The 13,837-nt window shown below is 54.9% G+C and overlaps 1 protein-coding gene across 2 annotated transcripts, besides 2 other annotated features; it reads right to left on the bottom strand.

Annotated features, from left to right (window-relative positions):
* Positions 2,528-13,453, bottom strand: UPK3A (uroplakin 3A). Of its 2 annotated transcripts, NM_006953.4 has the most exons (6): positions 13,337-13,453; positions 12,306-12,461; positions 10,951-11,230; positions 9,259-9,341; positions 5,089-5,221; positions 2,528-2,842 (listed from the first exon to the last, which is right to left on the bottom strand). In NM_006953.4, the coding sequence occupies exons 1-6, from the start codon at positions 13,386-13,388 to the stop codon at positions 2,683-2,685; spliced, it is 864 nt and encodes a 287-aa protein (NP_008884.1). In that variant the 5' UTR covers positions 13,389-13,453; the 3' UTR covers positions 2,528-2,682. The 2 variants fall into 2 exon arrangements, with proteins under 2 accessions (NP_008884.1, NP_001161046.1); NM_001167574.2 differs by lacking the exons at positions 9,259-9,341; positions 10,951-11,230.
* Positions 7,510-8,043: an enhancer, noted in NCBI's record as "H3K4me1 hESC enhancer chr22:45686240-45686773 (GRCh37/hg19 assembly coordinates)". NCBI's record gives its function as "activates a minimal SCP1, AML or CMV promoter by ChIP-STARR-seq in naive H9 embryonic stem cells {active_cell/tissue: H9 hESC(naive)}" and the evidence as "EXISTENCE:reporter gene assay evidence [ECO:0000049][PMID:30033119]".
* Positions 13,323-13,632: a silencer, noted in NCBI's record as "silent region_13880". NCBI's record gives its function as "represses an Ori minimal core promoter by ATAC-STARR-seq in GM12878 lymphoblastoid cells {active_cell/tissue: GM12878}" and the evidence as "EXISTENCE:reporter gene assay evidence [ECO:0000049][PMID:35858748]".

Below are 13,837 nucleotides of genomic sequence, written 5' to 3'. Positions count from 1 at the left end.
TATTGCTCCTGGCCGGGTGCTGTGGCTCAGGCCTGTAATCCCCGCACTTTGGGAGGCTGAGGAGGGCAGATCACCTGAGGTCAGGAGTTCGAGACCAGCCTGGTCAACATGATGAAACCTCGTCTCTACTAAAAATACAAAAAGTAGCCAGGCGTGGTGGCGGGCGCCTGTAATCCCAGCTATTTGGGAGGCTGAGGGAGGAGAATCACTTGAACCTGGGAGGCGGAGGTTGCAGTGAGCTGAGATGGCACCACTGCACTCCAGCCTGGGTGACAAGAGCGAGGCACTGTCTCAAAAAAATAAATAAGTAAATAAATAAATATATATATATAGCTCCTTAAAGTGGATGCCTCATTCCTCCCATGAACACGGAGCACAAAACACGTGTCCAATAAATAACGACGTGAGTGATTATTATGATGACCAAACTCCTTCCCCTCCTTGCTGTGTGCTGCGTGGGGTGGGGGTCACAAAAATGGATCCAACCTTTACCGGCCCTCCAGTAGCTCAGTCTAGACGCTGCAGAGACACTCACCAGCTGGAACATGGGGGCTGTAATGTAGCGGGGAGCAGGGATACCAGTGGACACGCACTGTTCCACTTCACCCTCACCCCCACCGTGTGCGGCACCCATTTACCAATGAGGAAATGGAGGCTGCAGGAGGTGGGGTAGCTCCTCCAGAAGCACTTGCTGAAAGGTCACCTGGCTGAAAGGTTAAGTCAGACCCCTCTGACTTCAGAGTGACTGCACTTTACTGCCTCGGCAGCCTCTCCCAACAGTCTCTTTGGGGACAGAAGCGGGAGGAATTAATACTCTCTGGGGAGGCCGGGTGCGGTGGCTCATGCCTGTAATCCCAGCACTTTGGGAGGGTGAGGCGGGTGGATCACGAGGTCAGGAGATCGAGACCAGCCTGGCTAACACGGTGAAACCCCATCTCTACTAAAAATACAAAAAATTAGCCAGGCATGGTGGCGCACGCCTGTAGTACCAGCTACTCGGGAGGCTGAGGCAGGAGAATCACTTGAACCCTGGAGGTGGAGGTTGCTGTGAGCCAAGATTGTGCCATTGCACTCCAGCCTCATCGACAGAGCGAGACTCCATCTCAAAAAAAAAAACACTGCAGACTGGGTGGTTTGTAAACAACAGAAATTTCTCTCTCACAGGTCTGGAAGCTGGACACCTAGGATCGGGGTGCCCGCGTGGTGGGGTTCTGATGAGGGCCGCCTTCTGTGTCACACGCTGCAGCCTTCTCACTGTATCCTCACAAGTGGAAAGAGGGCTCCACCCTCATGCCTCATCTCCTTCCAAAAGTCCCACCTCCAGATGCCATCACAGCCAGTGTTAGGATTTCAACCCATGAATGTCGAGGGACACAAACATTCATTGCTTAACAGTGGCCCTGGGGTAAGTATCTGGTCCACCTGGGGCACCCGCCAGCCTGCCTGGGCTGTTGTATTTGTAGCGCTTGGGTAGCATCCACTCTGTAACCAACCCTGCTCTGACAAACCACATCTTCCTTCAGCAACAGGAAGACGGACTGTGATTTTGTCTTGCACGCCCAATGGGGAAGCAGTCTTTCTGCCTGGCTCAGAAGAGAGAGTTGAAGCTTTTGAATGGAGACCCTAGACTGGGACAGCCCCTTCACCCCCCAGGCTGACCTGATGCCCCCTCCCAGGCATCCGGCAGCCTCAGCCCGGAAGTGATAGCTTCTGTCGCTGTGCCTCATTCACCATCCTCTGGTCTTCCTGCTGGAGTGGGAGTGTACTGAGGCCTGGAGCAGGGGGGCTGGGCAGCTCTTCTCTTTTGCTAGCCAGGTATGCATGGCCTCAGAAATTCACCATTTCCACCAGCCCATGTTACAGATGAGAAGACCGAGACTAGGGGCTTAGAGGGTAAGGGAGGGTCAACCAACTTGTTTTTTGTTTGTTTGTTTGTTTGTTTGTTTTTTGAGGCAGAGTTTTGTTCTTGTCACCCAGGCTGGAGGGCAATGGCACGATCTCAGCTCACTGCAAACTCTGCCTCCCGGGTTCAAGACATTCTCCTGCCTCAGCTTCCCAAGTAGCTGGGATTACAGGCATGCGCCACCACGCCCGGCTAATTTTGTATTTTTAGTAGAGACAGGGTTTCACCATGTTGGTCAGGCTGGTCTTATACTCCTGATCTCAGGTGATCTGCCCACCTCAGGCTCCCAAAGTGCTGGGATTACAGGCATGAGCCACCGCGCCCAGCCTGTTTGTTTTTTGAGACAGTATCTTGCTGTGTTGCCCAGGCTGGAGTGCAATGGCACGATCATAGCTCATTGCAGCCCTGCCTTCCTGGCCTCAAGCGACCCTCTCACTTCGGCCTCCTGAGTCCCTGGCACTACAGGCATGTGCCACTGCCTGGCAATTCACATGCCGTAGCCTTGACTGAAAATTAGCCCCCCTGCTCCCACCTACCCTGTAGAGAAACAATTCAAGCCCTCAGTTTGGCATTGATTCATTCATTCACCTTCTCACTCATTCATTCTGTAAGTAGTTACTGAACTAGAACTCATCAGAAGATTTTATTAAGGGTTTTCCTGCAGTTGGAGGGACAAGCCCTGTTTCACCTTCCCTGAAGTCAGGGTGTGACAACCACCGCTGCAGGGCCTGGGGCAAGGCCAGAGAGGAGGATGCTGCTGCCCAGGGGTGGTGCTGGGCTCAGTCTTGGAGCTTGCTGGAATACACCTCAGCCCTGTCCAGTGGCGGCCCCCGGTTCACGGACGTGTAGGAAGACTCCGAGGCCCCCAGCGACTTGGGAACAGCCTCCTGAGTGATTTGGGAGTCGTGAGTCGTTTCCCCATCAGAACTCCCCATGTCCCTGTCCAAGGGGATGGAAAGACCCAGGATTAGGGGACCAGAGCAAACCCAAATGCCTTTAGCTGCTTGGGGACCTTCATACTCAGACATAGCTTTCACAGATATCGTCTTCGTAGACATGAATTCAATCAATCCATCTTTCTGGAGCACTGACCCTGTGCCAGGCCCTGGGAATAAGGAAGAGGTCCACCTTTTGGAATGATGTGAACAACTTATAGGTCTTATTGGGAGCTGGACAATTTGAGGCCATTGTCCCATGTTCCCAAAGAGCTAAGGTTGCAGGGGCAGACTGACTGCAACAATGACCACGCAGCATGGACAAGCGCAGGTGGGAGCTGCAGGAAGGCTTCCTGGAGGAGGCGGCAGCTCACGTGGCCCTAAAGAAGGTGTGTGGGCTGGGTGCAGTGGCTCACATCTGTAATCCCAGCACTTTGGGAGGCCAAGGCAGGTGGATCACCTGAGGTGAGGAGTTCGAGACCAGCCTGGCCAACATGGTGAAATCTTGTCTCTACTAAAAATACAAAAAAATTAGCTGGGCATGGTGATGGTCGCCTGTAATCCCAGCTACTCAGGAGGCTGAGGCAGGAGTATCGCTTGAACCTGGGAGGCGGAGGTTGCAGTGAGCCGAGATGGCTGGGCAACAAGAGCAAAACTCCGTCTCAAAAAAAAAAAAAAAAAGGAGCGTAGGGGAAGAGAAAGGCATCCAAGTGTGGGGTCAGTCAGCACATGGTGGGTGTGAGGCAGGAAGGGCTGAGGAGTATCTGGAGCGATGGTACAGATCGCAGTTTAGTGCAGCTGGAGCCGGAACAAAGTGGGGATAGCAAGAGGGATACATGGAAAAACTGGGGCTAATTTCAGATAGCAGGGTCTTCAGTGCCAGATTAGGGCACTGTCCAAAAGGAAGGAGGGACATTGCTGTGTTCTGACTGCTCCCGGGTGCAGCCAGGCAGAGTTTCTGGGAGGCTGATATCATCTATTTTGTTTTTGTTCACTTAAATGTCAGAGTCATTTGTCATTAAATGGTAAAGGTGACACAGCCTGGGACCAGAACCCAGAGTTGGGGGCCTACAACCCGGGACTCGGGACTCCACTGACACCTCTGATTTGTGTCAGCTTTGGATGAGGACTCGAGGTCTCCCGGGGGGGGTGTACCAGGGTTAGCAGGGATGGGGGTGCGGAAGACAGGTGAGCCCACAGCCCACCAACCTGATTCACAAGTTCTCAGCCTCCTTCCTCACTCGATCTCCACCCGCCCCACCTATCTTTTCCTGCCTGGCTGCTTTCCATGGATCCACTTAACTATACCTACTCCAAGAAACTTTCCTATCTGCTCCACCCTTACCCACACTGGGACCTCTCTCAGTCTTCAAAGTCCCCTGGGCCTCCCTGCCTCCCTGCCTCTCACTGAGGAACACTCTGCTGATGAGAGTTTGCTCACACTGACCCTTCCTCCAGGAAGGCCACCCTGATGCTCCAGGCAGCACCCCCCCGGCCCTCCTCTGGATTCCCACGGCACCTTGGTTTGTCCCCTGCCTGGTCTTCCCAGGGGCTAGTGGACTGTGGGTTCACCTGTCTTTCCCACCCACAGCCCTGCTAAACCTGGTACACCCCTCGGGAGACCTCAAGTCCTCATCCAAAGGCGACACAAATCAGAGGTGTCAGTGGAGTCCCGAGTCCCAGGTTCTAGGCCCCCAACTCTGGGTTCTGGTCCCAGGTTGTGTCGCCTTGGGCCACTCTGACCCCCTCTGGGCCTCAGTTTCCCCCTCTGTACTGCAAGTAGGTGTATTATAATGACAACGAAAGCAAATGCTTGTTGAGTTCCCAGGCACTGCTCTAGAGACTCTATAGAGATTATTCCACTTAACCTTCACAACTCCGTGAGATGACTAATATTTATTATTTCCATTTTCCAGATGGGGAAACTGAAGAACAGAAGGATAGCAAGCCATACCTAAGGTTGCATAACTCTTCAGTGTCAGAGCTAAGATCTGAATCGGCTGTCTGCCCACAAGCCCAGGTGCTGAGTCCCACCCTTCCCAGCTGAGCAACTTGACTTTGATGATCCTCCCGCTTTGAAATCCCAGGACTCTGCTCCCTCTTCACCAGACCCCACCCGCGGGGCAGAGGGTAGCTTCCTTGCCTTCCGGGCTGTCCCCTGCCTCGGAGGACCCCACTGCTGAGTCCCTGTGAGCCAAATGTGTCTGGCATGTCCCTGGGGTCCAGCCCTCCCAGCAGGCAGGTACTTACACGAGGCTGAGGGCAATGGCGCCAGCAAAACCCACAAGTAGAAAGAAGGGCAGGGAGCCCAGGATGGAAGTGATGACGATCATGCCTCCGCTCCGCCGGCCTGGCCACGTGTCGATCGTCGAGTATGGGGTGACTGTGGTGGGATGCAGCCCGGTTACTTCCCAGACACCGCACCACCCTCACCCTTCTCCCAGGAGGCGGCGGGTGTCTCCCCCGCCCTGGCTGCCGGGGATCCAGGGATGACCCTGGGACCCAGTGGGGCGACTTCTCTCAGGTTTTAGGCACAATTACCTTATTTTCCCCCACATTCCACTTTCCAACTTTCTTTTGTGTGTTTCTGGCCACTTCCTCTTTTAACTCTTTCTTCTCTTTTTTTTTTTTTGCATTATTTTACGTTATTGTTTTTGAGACAGAGTCTTGCTCTGTCACCCAGCCATGAGTGCAGTGGCGCCATCCTGGCTCACTGCAGCCTCAAACTCCCAGGCTCAAGCCATCCTCCCACCCCAGCCTCCCAAGCAGCCGGGACTACAGGTGCACGCCACCATGCCCAGCTAATTTGTTGTACTTTTTTTTGTAGAGATGGGGTTTCACCATGTTGCCCAGTCTGGTCTTGAGCTCTTGGGCTCAAGCAATCCTCCCACCTCAGCCTCCCAATGTGTTGGGATTATAGGTGTGAGCCACCACCAGAGTGCCCCGGCTTTGCATAATTTTAAATCATAAACTGACTCAAGTCTTCTGGTGAGATGGCTGAGATATGGATTACAAGTAAAGATGAGGCAAAGGGCCCTGGTCTGACGGGGCCAGGTGGACGGTGGCTGTCACTCTTCTGGGGATGGCCTCACCCTTTGGAACGCTGTGAACAGATGATGTATAGGTCCTACTGCAGCCAGCCACTTGCAGCTACTGTTCCAGGTAGGTCCCCTGGAGACCCCATTCTGCAGATCACTCACTGCGCTCAGGGAGCCTGAGTCCCCAGCCAAGGACATGCAGAATCCAGGCTCAAGCTGGGCCAGCCTGGTCCTGAGGTGCATGCTGTCCCCCAGATGGGCCCCACGGTCCTCCCCCAAAAAAACTGGGCCTTGTGCTTCTGCCTGGGTTCCCCAAAGGAACCCTGCTGCAGAGGCCCATCAAGAATTCTTCTTCCCTCTTCTCAGATGAGGAAACCGAGGTCCATAACGGCTCACACCGCAGTGAGGGGCAGAGGCGGGGCTTGGGCTCAGGACTCTTAGTCCCAAGGGTTCCAAGGCTGTTTCGGTGAAACCACACTGCGTGGGAATGCCACGGGAGGGGCGGTAGGGAGTGAGGATGGGAGGAGCCACCCCAGCCACACACACTGCCATTCTCACACACCACACACCACACATACCAACTGACACACACTGCCACACTCTCACACACCACACACCACACATACCAACTCACACGCCCTGCCACACTCTCACACACCACACATACCAACTCACATACACAGTCACACTCAGACACCACACACCAACTCAAACTCTTACACACACACACATTGCCACACTCTCACACACCACACACCACGCATACCAACTCACACACACACAGTTACACACACCACGCATACCAACTCACACACACTGCCACTCTCACACACCAGACACCACACATACCAACTCACACACACTGCCACACTCTCACACACCACACACTACACATACCAACTCCCACACACACACAGTCACACTCAGACACCACACACCAACTCAAACTCTTACACACGCACACACACTGCCACACTCTAACACACCACACAACACACATTCCAACTCACACACACACTCTCACACTCACACACCACACACATCACACAACTCAAACTCACACACACACCTGCCACACTCTCACACCACACACACCACACACATACAATACACACTCTCACACCACCCACACACCACACACACATACACCACCCACACCACTCTCACACACACCAGACATACTCTCACGCTAACCACACACACCACACACACCCTCATTCACACACACCCCCACCACACACCACATACACCACCCACACCACACACACTCTCACACTCACACACCACACATACTCTCACACTAACCACACACACCCTCATATTCACACACACAACCCCACCACACACCACATATACCAGCAGTCCCCAGCCTTTTTGGCACCAGGGATCGGTTTTGTGGAAGACAGGTTTTCTGCAGACGGGAGTGGGCTGGGGGTGGTTTCGGGATGATTCAAGCACCTTATATGCAGTTATTGTGCACCTTATTTCTATATTATTACTTTGCCATATATAATAAAATGATTGTACAACTCATCATCATGTAGAATCAGTGGGAGCCCTGAGCTTGTTTTCCTGCAAGTAGACGGTCCCATCTGGGGTGATGGGAGACAGTGACACATCATCGGGCATGAGATTCTCGTGAGGAGCATGCAACCTAATCCCTGGCATGCGCAGTTCACAACAGGGTTCGCGCTCCCGTGACACTCTAATGCCACTGCTGATCTGACAGGAGGCGGAGCTCAGGCAGTAATGCGAGCTACAGGGAGCGGCTGCAAATGCAGATGAAGTTTCACTCGCCCACTGCTCACCTCCTGCTGCGCGGTCCCGTTCCTAACAGGCCATGGACTGGTACTGGTCCATGGCCCAGGGGTTGGGGACCCCTGATATACACCACACACTGTCACACTCATCCACACCACACTCCTCACATACTCTCCACACACCACATACCACACACATTCTCACACTCACACACCACTCACACACATACGCAACACCGTAAACTACATTATACAGTTACCACACGCCACACGCAACACAAACACACACACATAGACATACCACAACAGGCACGGGCACTCACATACTCACACACAAGGCTTTCTACCACCCACTCGCGTGTGACTTCAGGCAACCTTTCAGAGCCCCCCACGCCCCTGGGGGTGCACATGGGCTCAACAGGAGGCTCTGCAGGTGAAATGCACAGGACCCTGACACTCATCCTGCCAGACAGCCTCGTCTTGGGGGCCAAGGTGTGGCGGGAGGAGGTCTTAAGTTAGGATATCATTTGCCCAAAATTACCATCAAAGACCCTGGCGTGGCCCCTGTCATTCAGCAGACTCGACTCTGTATATGAACTTTGGGTCTCTGCTGAGCAAGGAACAGCGCAGCACCCTGGCGTTCCACCTCAGGAAAGCCGCCCAGGTGCTAAGGAGTAGGTGTGCAGGGAAGGAGAGCGGTTCCTTGCTGCCTTTGCCATCTTGGTTTTAGGCCTTGGAAACATCTTACCTGGCCATAGGGTGCTTGCTGCTATGAGGATTTAGCAAAGGGGCTGGTTAGGACGTAAATGCCGGGTCAGCTCCGCGTGCCTTTGAGGCCAACCCACTGTAAGGGCTGGAGAGACGGAGGAATGGGCCGGCTTTGATCCGCTTACACCCATCCCCAGCCCAAATGCCACCAAGGCCTGCACCTTGATCTGTTCCCACACCTGGCCCTCAAGGATGGAAAGGAGGAAGGAGGAAGTTCCAGGTTCAACGACTTTTTTTTTTTTTTTGAGACAGAGTCTCACTCTGTCACCAGGCTGGAGTGCTGTGGCGTGATCTCGGCTCACTGCAACCTCTGACTCCCCAGTTCAAGCGATTCTCCTCCCTCAGCCTCCCAAGTAGCTGGGATTACAGGCACGTGCCACCACGCCCAGCTAATTTTTTTTTTCTTTTTTTTTTTTTTTTGAGACGGAGTCTCACTCTGTCGCCCAGGCTGGAATGCAGTGGTGTCATCTTGGCTCACTGCAAGCTCCACCTCCCGGGTTCACGCTATTCTCCCGCCTTAGCCTCCCGAGTAGCTGGGACTAAAGGCACCCCCACCACGCCTGGCTACTTTTGTTTTTGTATTTTTAGGAGAGACGGGGTTTCACCGTGTGAGCCAGGATGGTCTCGATCTCCTGACCTCGTGATCCACCTGCCTCAGCCTCCCAAAGGCTGGGATTACAGATGTGAGCCACCACACCTGGCCTGGCTCAACAGCTTTAAGGAGCATTTTACTCATCACTGCCTGGCCTGGGAGGCTTTCACAGGGACAGAGGAGCCTTGGTTCTCACCGCCGTGGCTGGCCCCGCCTTCTCGGGTCCCCTTGAGCATCACCACCACCACTGCCCACCACTTACGCTGGTTGGTGCGGATGGGGTCTGACCACAGGGTCTGGTCCTCTACCAAGCCCGTGGACATATTGACCAGGACATACTTGAACCTGGAAGGAGACGGAGCCAGGGTGACTTTTATGCTTCCTGTGAGCCCCACCCACAGGGAGGCGGTGGGGGGATGTAGGATGGCCTAGGGGTGGGAGACGGCAGCGGGGGCCCTTCCAGGAGACGGAAATGTAGACGGCTACTGAGCGGGCTCTGGGCAACAGGACAGTGCTGAGCTTGGCCAATAGGACCCCCCCCAGGACCCCTCCCTGGATCAGCTGCCACCTCCTGCATCCATGAAGCCTTCAGAATCAGAAGCTGCCCTTCTAGGCGCTCCCTCTTAGAGCTCCCCTCCATTTCTTTCCTCCATGTAACACACGTGGCATAGTTGCTGAGCACTAATGCATCTGTCTTCCTTGCATTTCTGCCTTCCGTGACTCCAAGCCTGCTCCTTGGCATCACAAAGAAAACTGAAAAAGAAAAAGGCTGAAGCTGGGCATGGTGGCTCACGCCTGTAATCCCAACAGTTTGGGAGGCTGAGGCGGGCAGATCACCTGAGGTCAGGGGCTCGAGACCAGCCTGGCCAACATGGCAAAACCCTGTCTCTACTAAAAATACAAAAATGGGCCGGGCGCAGTGCCTGACGCCTGTAATCCCAGCACTTTGGGAGGCTGAGGCGGGCGGATCATGAGGTCAGGAGATCGAGACCATTCTGGCTGACACAGTGAAACCCCGTCTCTACTAAAAATACAAAAACAAAAGTAGCCAGGCGTGGTGGGGGCGCCTGTAGTCCCAGCTACTCAGGAGGCTGAGGCAGGAGAATCGCTTGAACCCGGGAGGCAGAGGTTGTGGTGAGCCGAGATTGCACCACTGCACTCCACCTTGGGCAACAAGAGCGAAACTCCATCTCAAAAAAAAAAAAGCAGAAGTTGAGGCTGCAGATGGCAAGGCTTTGGTAGGGTTTCTGTTCATGCTGGGCCCCAGCTTTCCACTGGGTGACCTTCCCTCTCTGGCACAGTTTCCTTTCCTGTAAGACGAAGGGGTTTGGGTGGGTGACTTCCACACACGTAGATGGGCCAGGACCAGCTGCATAATCTGTGGGCCCCAGAGCAAAATGAAAATGTGGGCCCTTGTTCAACAATTAAGAATTTCAAGATGGGCCAGGCATGGCAGCTCACGCCCGTAACCCAATACTATGGAGGAGGCCAAAGCAGGCTGATCACTGGAGGTCAGGAGTTCGAGACCAGCTTGACCAACATGATGAAACCCCATCTGTACTAAAAACACAAAAAATTAGCCGGGCATGGTGGTGTGCACCTGTAATCTCAGCTACTCGGGAGGCTGAGGCAAGAGAATCGCTTGAACCTGGGAGGCGGAGGTTGCAGTGAGCTGAGATTGTGTCACTGTACTCCAGCCTGGGAAATGGTGGAGACCCCGTCTCAAAAAATAAATAAATAAATAAAATACAGAATTTCAAGACGGTAGTTGCAGAGCGTCAATCCAAGAGGGGCCTCTTCTGAACTTGAGGCTCAGCGTGGCCTGCCTGGAACCTGGGATGTTCTCAGCATATAAGTTCTCAAGAAGTGTGGCTGCTCCTACTTTGCCCCTGCTCTCCCTCATCAGGACTGGGGAACTGCCGCGGCTCTCCTGTAGTGGTTTGTTTACACCCACCTGTACTCCGTGGCTGCCGACAGGGGTGCGTTACAGAGGCCCTGGAAGTTGGGATCCCACAGGCAGGTCCCGTTGGCACCCACCCTGACCAGGTAGGCATTCAGGATCTGTGAGGCCTTGGACACATCCCCAATGGCATCCAGGCTGGGCAGGTCACTGCAGGGGATCAGGTCAAAGGCCACAGCTTTGTAGGGACCTGTCCTCCCACCCTCTGTTTGTAGGAACGTTGAGCCCAGTGGGGTGTTGGTGCTGTCTTGCACTGAGGCATTCCTGGAAATGGCTGCAGAGGCGGTGCAGGGAGTCAGGCTTCTGGCCACTCCGGCTCAGCGACACTCACTCAGTTATTCATCAAATGCCTGATCATCCTTTCTGCCCCAGCTCTGTGCTGGGCACTGGCATCACAGGCATGGGGCAAACTTAGTCTCTGCCCTCTCAGTGCAATGTGGGAGATGGACAAGGATCACCTCCCTGCTTTGGGCGCTGTGTCTGACTCTCGCCTTATCTTGTGACATTCCTGCAACCCCCCATCCCAACAGACCTTTGTCTCTTCATTGCTGAAAGCCCTGGATTCTCTCTTGTGTAAAATGGGAAAGGAAGGTCATCGGTCCAAGGGAAATAACGTGGAGGCAGGACCCAGCTCTCCTCCTTACTAGATGGGTGACCTTGGACAACTCACTCTACCTCTTCAGACCCTAGTCTTCTATGAAATGGGAGAGAAATTCCCTACAGTGCCCGGAGATCAGGCACTTTAGTTTATAGTCAATAAACACATGCTGAAAGAAGAAAAGGATGGTCCCGAATGAGCTGTTGTAAATGACTGGCTGCTAGAAATGCAAGAGTTGATGTTGGCTTGTCTCAGAAGCTCAGGATCCCCTCCAGGGCAGGGGTTGGGGCTGGGCCACAGCAGCAGGTCCAAATGCATGGTTTTGTCTCAGAAACACCAATCTTGAGCCACCTTTCGAAGCCTCAGGAAGGACCTTGGGCTTGGGGACTAGAGAGATCAGGATTCACTCTCCAGCCCTGGGAGGTCCAGGGGGGGTTATTCCACCTCTCTGAGCCTTGCTTCCCTGCTCTGTAATGGGGATTGGTAATAGCTACCTTACAAGCTGGTTGTAGATACTAGCTCTATGGTGTGCAAAGTGCCTGGTATGGTGTAGGTGTTCAGTGACTGGTGGTGTTATTACTTCCCTCACTAACTGGATGTCCCTGCAAGGCAAGGACAGGTCTGTGGCTGCAGTACCTGTTTAATGAGACGACTACAGGCATGGAGGGTTCCTCTATCTGCCTCCTTCCCTCCTCCCTGCAGACAGGTCAGAGCCCCTTTTGGAGTAGCCAGAGGGAAGCAGGACCCTTACCTGAGTCGACCAGGACATACAGGTAGACCTCGTGGGTGCCAGTGAGGGCCTCTTTGCTGTCAAACATGCAGAGAGGCTTTTCCAAGGCCACAGTGGTAAGTGTGGGGTTGTTGGTGGCGAAAGTCACACTGGCCAGTTGGGGCTGCAGGTTCACAGCTGGAGGAGGCAGTGAGGATGGGAACTGACCTCCGGCAGAACTGTCCACACCCACTCTGCTTGCAGTTACTGAGCACGTGTTGTGTGCCAGGCCCTGGGCTTCACCCTCCCCCTGGGCCACCGCATAAGCTGTCTCAGACACTGCCCCCTGCCCAGTCATCCTGCTCAGAAATGGAGCGGTCGGGCCAAACTGCTGCCTTCTCTCCCTGCTGCAGACACTCAGTTGCCAAGAACTCCACTGCCCCTCCTAAGCATCTCTCCATGCCATCGGCCCAGCCCTCCTCCGTCCCACCTTCCTCACCTGGGCCCTCCCCCCACATGCAAGTCTGACTGCCTCATTCTCTGGCTATGGCCCTCCCATGGTCCCCCAGCGCCCCCTGACGAAGTCCAGCCTCTCTGGAAAGGCAGTGAGGTCCTGAAGTTCTGGGCTTTGCTTTGTTCGGTCTCCAGCCTCACCCCTTCCCCCACAGGCTCCCCTCACCCCAGGCTCCAGCTGGTCCCATGGACTGGCAGTTCCCAGGACAGCCCAATATTGTCTCCCCTCCATGAACTTGCCCATGCTGCTTCCTCGGCCGAAATATCTCTCTATCTGCCCCCGTCCAGGCGTCACCATGGGGCTGGGGCTAGTCCCTTCTCTGTCCTACCGCAGCCCCCCTGCATGTTGGTCTCTTGCAACACACATCGCAGGGCTGCAGCCATCTGTGAGCCCTCGGATTCCCAACAGAGGAGGCCCGTAAACGTTGGCTATCACTATTATTCATAACAGTAATATCTGGGTCCCCAGCGCCAGGAATCAGGGTCCAGGCGGCGGGCGCCCCAGGGCAGAGCTGCCCGCTCTTTCTGGGCTCAGCCCCCTCCTGCCCTTCACCGCCTACCCGAGCCGAACCGCAGGCAGCCGAGGGCCAGCAGGGCCCAGAGCGGAGGCATCGCCCGGGAGGAGCCGCCAGAGCGCGGGGCGGGCGGTCCAGCGAGCAGGCGCGGGCACCAGACCTGTCCCTGCCAGGGCACCTGCCAGCTCTGGGCCCTCGGCGCGCCCCGCCCCCGCCTGGGCTGGCCAATCCGCGGCCTCCTCGCGCGCTATTTGCATACGGCCCTGCCCCGGGCTTCCCCGACCCGTGCGCGGTGCCCCAGGGCGCAATCCCACCGGGCAGGACCTTCTCCAGCCCGCATCAAAGCGCCTACTGTGTGCCCAGGCCAGGGCAGCCCTTCCACAGCGTCTCTCACCAATGGGACCTTGAGGGCAAGCCACTCCCACTTGGAGCCTCAGTTTCCATACTGTAAAATGACGCTAATTTCTACAACTATTTATGGAGGCTCTATTACGTGCCAAACACTCACTGGGCACTCGCGAAACAAAATGGGTTGACCAGTAAAGG

The sequence above is a fragment of the Homo sapiens genome, chromosome 22 (assembly GCF_000001405.40).
Source record: "Homo sapiens chromosome 22, GRCh38.p14 Primary Assembly".
Taxonomy (NCBI): Eukaryota; Metazoa; Chordata; class Mammalia; order Primates; family Hominidae; genus Homo; species Homo sapiens.
Note: the sequence above shows the minus strand (reverse complement) of the source record. Positions and strands in the feature narration are given on the sequence as shown.